General features: G+C 43.7%; 1 protein-coding gene and 1 pseudogene across 1 annotated transcript; both read left to right on the plus strand.

Moving 5' to 3' along the window:
• KDM4E (lysine demethylase 4E) lies at positions 263-2601 on the plus strand. Its single transcript, NM_001161630.1, has one exon. It carries the CDS (start codon positions 563-565, stop codon positions 2081-2083), a length of 1521 nt encoding a protein of 506 aa, NP_001155102.1. The 5' UTR covers positions 263-562; the 3' UTR covers positions 2084-2601.
• Positions 5548-6251, plus strand: LOC100420802 (lysine demethylase 4D pseudogene; annotated as a pseudogene).

The following is a 9031-nucleotide window of genomic DNA, read 5'->3' on the forward strand; positions in this document are numbered from 1 at the left end:
CCATCTGGATGTGTATGTGCAGGTCACTGGGGATATGATGGCTTAGCTTGGGCTCAGAGGCCTGACAATGTTTACATATCCTGATGTTAGCATATGTTTTAGCTTAGCTTAATGCTAGCTGAATATTTCTTTTGTCTGGTTATATACTTATTTAAAAAATATGAATATTCTGTATCTTTTGTTGTTGTTGTTTAGGTGTATTGTTTCGACTTCCTAGAAGAGACCCCCAGGTACAGTGGGACACTAGCTGCTACTAGTGCACCCAAGCCTGAGAATCAGGAGAAGCCTCACAGTGACACCCCCAACTGAGGAAACTCACAGAGCTGGGACATACTCTACTTCTTCAGAAAAAAGTATACTGACTAGAGTGGAGTCCCCCTGGGGAGTCAGAAAGCCTGTGAAAGATCTCACTTGTTCAAAAGTCCAAGTGTGAATTACTGTCTCACAGATAAACCAAAGTATTTTGAAAAACAAAGGGGAGAAAAGAAATTACTCCCCAGAACTCTCAGGCATCTAGAGGACACCCAAGAACGTGGGAGTCAGCTGCTTCTTGTGTGCAGCCATGAAGTCTGTGCACTCCAGTCCCCAGAACACGAGTCATACCATCATGACGTTTTACCCAACCATGGAAGAATTTGCAGATTTCAACACATATGTTGCTTACATGGAGTCCCAAGGCGCACATCAAGCTGGCCTTGCCAAGGTAATTCCACCCAAGGAATGGAAAGCCAGACAGATGTATGATGATATCGAAGACATCTTAATAGCCACTCCCCTCCAGCAGGTGACCTCTGGGCAGGGAGGTGTGTTTACTCAATACCATAAAAAGAAGAAAGCCATGAGGGTGGGGCAGTATCGCCGCTTGGCAAACAGTAAAAAATATCAGACTCCGCCACACCAGAATTTTGCAGATTTGGAGCAACGATACTGGAAGAGCCACCCCGGTAATCCACCAATTTATGGTGCTGATATCAGCGGCTCCTTATTTGAAGAAAGCACTAAACAATGGAACCTAGGACACCTGGGAACAATTCTGGACCTGTTGGAGCAGGAATGTGGGGTTGTCATCGAGGGTGTCAACACACCCTACCTGTACTTTGGCATGTGGAAGACCACGTTTGCCTGGCACACAGAGGACATGGACCTTTACAGCATCAACTACCTGCACTTTGGGGAGCCCAAAACTTGGTACGTGGTGCCCCCAGAACATGGTCAGCACCTGGAACGCCTGGCCAGGGAGCTCTTCCCAGACATTTCTCGGGGCTGTGAGGCCTTCCTGCGGCACAAAGTGGCCCTCATCTCGCCTACAGTTCTCAAGGAAAATGGGATTCCCTTCAATTGCATGACTCAGGAGGCTGGGGAGTTCATGGTGACCTTTCCCTATGGCTACCATGCTGGCTTCAATCACGGCTTCAACTGCGCAGAAGCCATTAATTTTGCCACTCCACGATGGATTGATTATGGCAAAATGGCCTCTCAGTGTAGCTGTGGGGAGTCGACAGTGACCTTTTCCATGGACCCCTTTGTGCGCATTGTGCAACCCGAGAGTTATGAGCTCTGGAAACACAGGCAAGACTTGGCCATTGTGGAACACACAGAGCCCAGGGTTGCAGAAAGCCAAGAGCTGAGCAACTGGAGAGATGATATAGTACTTAGAAGAGCTGCTCTGGGCCTGAGGCTTCTCCCAAACCTCACAGCCCAGTGTCCCACACAGCCTGTGTCCTCAGGGCACTGTTACAACCCAAAAGGCTGTGGCACTGATGCTGTGCCTGGATCCGCATTCCAAAGCTCTGCATATCATACCCAGACCCAGTCACTTACCCTGGGGATGTCAGCCAGGGTTCTTCTCCCTTCCACTGGAAGCTGGGGTTCTGGTCGTGGTCGTGGTCGTGGTCAAGGTCAAGGTCGAGGTTGCAGTCGTGGTCGTGGTCATGGTTGTTGTACTCGAGAACTGGGGACTGAGGAGCCAACTGTTCAGCCTGCATCCAAGAGGCGCCTTTTAATGGGTACAAGGAGTAGAGCTCAAGGCCACAGGCCTCAGCTCCCGCTTGCCAATGATTTGATGACAAATCTGTCCCTTTGAGTGGTGGCCTTCAGCATCTTGCCAAGGCTTCTGGCTGCTGCTGTGTCCCTGATCTTCAACTCCTGGGGCCCCCACTGGATCGTGATGAAACCATGCACCCTGGCCTGTGCCTGCTATCCCTCAACAGCACTACTAGTAATCTCCCTGATGTTGTCTGCATGACTCCTCCCAATGTCATTGTGCCTTTGATTAAGTTTTCCAGGGACACTGGTGGGGACTGGAACTGATTAAGTTCACCAGGGACACTTGCCTGGTGAACATGGGCAAGGCTGTAGCAATGGACCACTTTTACGGCTCTAGGGTTCTGACTCCAACTAAGTTTTCCAGAATCTCCTGGGCTCCTGACTCATCTGCTGGGTCTAAAGACACTGAGTTTAGGGATATTTTCCTCCAATACATGATCAATCCTCTGGATCCACGGCTATGGAATATGGTGACAAATGTCAGTGTCTCTCTTATTCCAACCCCAGGATCAGAGAAGATTCTTTACCTGCAGTAACTGACACATTTCCAAGGCCCCCAGATGCTGTCTCCAACTGTGACAACCAGGGCTCCCAGAGGCCACTGAAGTCCCCTCCCCAAAGGTTGCCATAGGATGTTGTAGTACCTCTCAGGGATTCTCTGTCTACTCCACATATTTGCCTGTGGCCTTCACCATGGCCAGATGCCATGGACAGCACTTGTTTCTGATGTCCCCCTTAGGATACCTCCCTTATAGTGCTATGGGTCCAGATTCCATGGTAATTTGGGCCCACACTGGATGATGCTGAGAATCTTACTGAGCCTCTCATTTTTACTTCTCATCTGGTCCTCTATGTCTCTGACTCTGGATTCCACTGGACATTGCTACAACCCCAGTGAGGTTCAGGGCTTCCCACAATCCTTCAATTGCAACATGCCCTTTATCCTAGGCCACCGTCCACTGCTCATGTACAAACTAGACCTTTTGACCAACTGAGTTACTTAGCCAGTTATGGCTTCAGAGGTATTTTGTAACTATACTGATGTTAACTAAATTTGCTGTCTCTAATGTATATCTCCAAAGAAAATAAAAGTCTTAGTGCATGTTTTTTAAATTAGAATAATATAAAATAGATATATCAAAAAGAAAGTGATTTAGAAAAGTGATTGAGATAAAAGAATGGGGAAACTATACCAAGCAAAGAACAAACATAAAAGTAGATTTACAGATCTTAATATCAGGCAAACCTGAATTGAGACCAAAGGTACATAGCATGGATCTTCACAATGCAAAATACTAAATTTCACAATGACATTACAGCAGTCATGAATATTCAAGTTCGACATAGTATAAATTATAGTACATAAAAGACAAGTTTAAAGAAACAGATTAAAAATAGGAACATTTAAGTCACCAGTATGGTTTGGATATGTGTGACTTAATCTCATGTGAAATTTTAATCTCTAATGTTGGAGGTGGGGCCTGGTGGGAGATGACTGGATCATGGGGGTGGTTTGTCATGAATGATTTAGCACTATCTCCATAGTGCTATTCTTGTGATACAGTTCTAGGAGGATCTGGTTGTTTAAAAGTGTGTACGACCGTCCCCCTCTCTCTTCCTCCTGCTCCAGCTATTTATGATGTGCCTGTTTCCCCTTTCATCATGATTGTAAATTTCCAGAGGCTTTCCCAGAAGCAGAAGCTCCTATGCTCCCTGCACAGCCTGCAGAACCATAAGCCAAATAAAACTCTATAAATTACCCAATTTCAGGGATTTTTTTTTTTCGATGTAGTTTCACTCTTGCCCAGGCTGGAGTGCAGTGGCTCAATCTTAGCTCACTGCAACCTCTGCCTTCTGGGTTCAATCGATTCTCCTGCCTCAGCCTACTGAGTAGCTGGGATTACTGGTGCCTGCCACCACACCCAGCTAATTTTTCTATTTTTAGTGCAGATGGGGTTTAATCATGTTGGCCAGGCTGGTATCAAACTTCTGACCTCAGGTGATCCACCTGCCTCAGCCTCCCAAAGTGCTGGGATTACAGCCGTGAGGCACCACACCCAGCCTTCAGGCATTTCTTTACAGCAATGTGTGAATGAAATAGTCACTCATCCAAGGCAGAAAAAATGGAGAAATATAAGGATATGGAAAATTTAAACTACATTAACAATAAGGTAGTATTGGCATACTAGATGATAGAAAATACTTCCTCTCTTCAAGTGCCAAAAATGCTGAATTTTCACAAAACAATAAATATCTATTACATGCATAAACTCTGCAGCAAGAAAGCCTGATTTTGTTCCCAAGTTTCTCTTATCAGCTTGTATGACCTTGAAAATTACTTAACCTTATGACTCAGTTTCCTCAACATAAAATGAAGATAGCACCTACCTCATGTGTGTAGTTGACAGTTCTATGAATTAATATATGCAATTTGTTAACATCAATGCTTGGGATACAATAGCATTATTGGAGTGTTTCTAGATGTAAAACTTAATAAAATACATAAAGAAATATATGAGATTCATTTACAATAGTGCTGAGGAAAATCTGCAGCCTTAAGTATTTTCTCCATCATATTCAAATAATGAAATTAACTGGATTAAACTTCTAATGTACAAGTTAGGAAAAGATAAACTGAAAGTAGTTGGAAGGAATTGATACATGTATACACAGAAATTAATGAGTTAGAATAACTGTAAAATGTATACTAAATCAACACAAAGCACCAATAATATGGATTTTTTGTTAGAAAAATTAACTTACTAGACACAAAAAATTTAAGACTAAATTTCTGTGTCTGAAATATAGAAAGAGCAGAAGATCTGCCTATTCAAAAATGACAAGGATTAGACAAACTTGCAGAGGAATTGTGTGACATCTTCATTTCTAGTATACCTAGGCCTTTAAAATGAGAAAAAAAATTCACATTTTAAAATAAATACATCATTGACAGAAAATCCTGATGAATTGCAGAATGAGAGAAAGTTATGGACAAAACTTATTGAGGAACATCAAGGTAAAAATTTTAACTTAAATATTAGCTAAGAGAATCTAAATACGTTAAAAGAGTAACATATGATGACTACATGGGATTTATTGCAGGAAGGAAACAATAGTTTAAAGCAAGGAAATCTGGAAATATAACTTATCTTGTAAATATATCCAGAAGTTATATGATTATAGATGCTGATAGTCATTTGATAAAATTCAACAGTCAGTCTTGGTTTGCTCTCACCCACAAGGCAGCAATGAATCCTTCCATAAAATAAAATACAAAATTGTTTATCTAATAGTGAGATATTTTAGACCCAAGCCACCATTTTCCTTCATGTGAGGTATTTGAGGCACTTCAGTCAATAATTTATGGAATTTGCACTATTAACCACTGAAAATATTTTTAGAACTATAATTGATGGAAGGGAAGAGACAAAACTTATTTTGTTGTGGTTGCAGTTGATAAGGCTGAATGTGGGGAAAACTCAAGGAGGAGGTTAAACTTCTAAATGGTTTCTTTATGGTTACCATGCTGGCTTCAACCATGGCTTCAACTTCCAGGAGGCCATGAATTTTGCCACCATGGAATAGATCAATTCAGGCAAAGTGGAGTCTCAGTGCAGTGGTGGGAAAGCCATTGTGGGCATCCTGTAACCCAAGTGCTATGACCTGTGGAAACACAGTCATTTGGGGCAGTTGCAGAACCCATGGAGTCCAGGGCACATGCCAGCCTGGAGATGCCCACCTGGTGAAAGATCCAAGTGCTGGAGAGGACTAGCCTGGCCCCAGTCACCACCCATGTCAACAGGGTCATGACCCACACAACCTATGGCCTCAGGCTGTGGTTCCCATTGCCTTACCCTTGTGCCTGGTGTTCCCATGGCCTTTCCATCCTGCAGTGATGCTTCCCAGCCCACGAACTTAGCCTGGACCCACTGCCCACCCCAGCTATGCCAAGCCTGGTCTGAACCCCTCAACTGACAGACGTGGCCATGGTCCTTGCCCTCTGTAACTGGGGGCTCCGGAGCCAATACTCCAGGCTCCAGCCAGGAGGTGCCTCTTGATGGTCACAGGGCACACAGCTTTAGGCCCTCAGCCTCAGGCCCTGAGTCTAAGTCCTTGCCCACAGATGGAGCATTGATGAACAGGCCTGCACCACTAAGCCCAGGATCCAGCATCCTGCCAAGGATTCTAGGTGCTGCTGGGCCCCTGCCTCTGAGGCCATGGTCAGTCTTTATACCTCACTGCTCTACTAAGTGAGGGCTTCTTGATATTGCTCACATTTACATCTCAGGATTTTGGGCACATTTTCAGACCACTACAATTATAGAGCCTTCAGTGCTGAGATAGCCCCTCTGGTGAGGCACCTGCGTGCTGCTGAGTATATTAATCATATCTTCTTTATCCTGCAAGACCTTTTAATGTCTTGACACTTCTACTTCTGTGTCACCAGCTGAGATTTCATCCACTGGACATGAATATCTCTGAGAACGAGGTCTTCCTGGGTTTGCTGGGAACTCATCTATCCCAGCGTCCCAATTGCTGGAACAACTATGGAGGCTGCTGCACTTCTGAAGAATTCACAATGTGGTTCCCCTTCAATCTCCTTCCCTTACCTACCCCTGCCCCAACTCTCCCTTTCTAGCAAAACTAGCCTTTTATGAACAATTAGGTCAGTAGAGTTAGAAAAAAGGTATCATCTTTCTGAGTCATTGAGGTATTCAAAATGTGATGTCACCAGTATTTGTTCACAAATGAATTAAAAGTCACCAAAATGTAAGATCTGACTTTCTTTCTAATATTGTAGTTTCAAACAACTTGGAAAGGAGGTTATTCTCCATGCATTTTTCTTCATAGTTAGTTGAAAACTTTTAAAGCAAAATGTATTTTATGGGCTGGTTACATTGTGTGGTGATGCTGAGCTCAGGGCATGGTTGTGGGGTTCTGGCTGTCTGGCCAGGTGGGAGCACTGGGTTGCAGTCATACTTTGAGGCTGGCCTTATGCCCAGCCTGGTTCTCAGCTAAATAGCAGGACCCAAATTGCTGGGAAAGATGAGCAGCCCTAGGGTGAAGGTGCCATTATCTGACTATCTTCTCTCCCCGGGCTCCACTGCCTTTTCAAAGCTGTGTGTAGCTTTCACACTGATAACTCATTCACTCAACCCAATATCGTCCCCAAATAAGTGAGCAAGGTTTCAATCAGGAATGTGTGCTGTATAGAAACTAAAGAAGGATTGGACAACAGAGCAGAATGAGCTGGGGCTGGCTGAGTGGCCAGTCTCAGAAGGATTCACTGAGCAGGAGACTTTGGGGACACAATTACAAAATGGGGAGGTCCAGAGCAGAATTCTCCACTTGCAGGGACCAGCAAGTACAACAGACCTAGCATAGAATGTGGTGAGTTTGTGTTTCCAGGAAAACAAAAGAAGCTTATTTGTGTCTGGGACACAGAGAGGAAGGGAGAGAGGCAGGGGGCAGAATATGGAGGGCCTTGTGTCCCATGTCAGGTGCATTATGTGGTGTTCCTTCAACTTGAAATAAGGAGGCATTAAAACAGCAGCGGAAAAGATGTGAATGACATATTTAAGTAATCAGCTTAGTTGTTCTGTGGAGAATGTGTGAGTAGGAGAAGCAATTAGACTATTTATAATAAAAGTGAGAGTGACAGTTGCTTACACTTAATTGTTAGTATTGCAAATGCACAGAAATGGAAAAATTCAGAATATATTATTCACATTGAAAATGATAGTTTTGATGAAGAAGGAAACATTCAGAGAAGCAAACCACTCCTCACCTTAGTACCACCCTTCCTTAACTTCCCCACTCCCATCCAGAATTTCAGGAAGGCTGTAAATTTTGAAGCATGAGTAATAAAAACCTGGTGCTTGTCTAAAGTTCTCAATAAAGAGCAGAAAAACTCTTATCATCCTGTCTCTCCCATTCATTCAGGCAACTTTGTCTTTCTTAACATAACAAGAAGTTTATTCTTTGGAAAATTCAAGCTGAGGGAAAACATAGGGTCTCCAGGCATACAGGAGGATGGACTGAGATGCCTGGCTGAAAGGGGATTTAAGCTAATAGTGACATGGTGGAACCAAAGATGAAAGTACACTGCATTCACTGGAAGGGAGTAGCCCAAGAGAACTGTTGATCCCTGAGTACATCCTGCATGACCAAGGAATGAAATTTTATGTGATAGATAAAAGCCTCATTGGCCCTGGAGTGCAGTAGGCAGACAGCCTTCAGCTGCAGAGAGCTGCCTCACCCAAAGCCATGCCTCTTCCCAGTTTGGCCCACATCTCATGACTGTTCAGTGCTGGAGCATTAATCTTGGCCATCTTTGCTCAACTTAGCACATTGCTGAAGGGCCATTTGTGCTACAGATTTGCCGAGAGTATCTTTGGCCCTAATCCTCAGCTCCAATTTTCCCTGTGCTCAAACATGCTTCCTTCCTCTCCTTTTCTCAGATATGGATCCCAAGCACACTTGTTAAGAAAGATCTTGGTGCTGAAGTCTGTTCCATAACGGACTTGACCTACAACTTTACTTCAGGTTTCATTGTGTTTCAAAAGCCTAATTTTCTTGAGAGAATAAAGAGTACTCACCCCTACGGAAATCATAGTTCTTTGCATGGTTATTTAGTGATGTGAGGAGATAGGAATGGCCACATGAGAATTTCAGCTTTTAATTTATGGAATTATTGTTGTGACCCCTGGTGAAAACATGTCCCTTTGAATGTCATAAGTCACAAGGGCAAGAAGCAAATATCTTGCCATTGGCATGATGAATCAATACCAGTTTTACTCCTGGATTAACTGGAACCATGTACTCTGTTCTGAGCAAAACAGTATCATGTTCAGAGCAAGTGACTCTCACATACATTGCTTGTGGGAATGTTACATTATACAGCCCCACTGAAAAACTGTTTGTTAATGTTCTGTAAACTTGACCACTTATCTATCCATAGCCATTCTCTTCCTGAGTATTTACC

The sequence above is a fragment of the Homo sapiens genome, chromosome 11 (assembly GCF_000001405.40).
Source record: "Homo sapiens chromosome 11, GRCh38.p14 Primary Assembly".
NCBI classification, from domain to species: domain Eukaryota; kingdom Metazoa; phylum Chordata; class Mammalia; order Primates; family Hominidae; genus Homo; species Homo sapiens.

Excerpts from the sequence above, each read along its gene's own strand:
- KDM4E (NM_001161630.1), top strand. The coding sequence starts at position 563 with ATGAAGTCTGTGCACTCCAGTCCCCAGAACACGAGTCATACCATCATG.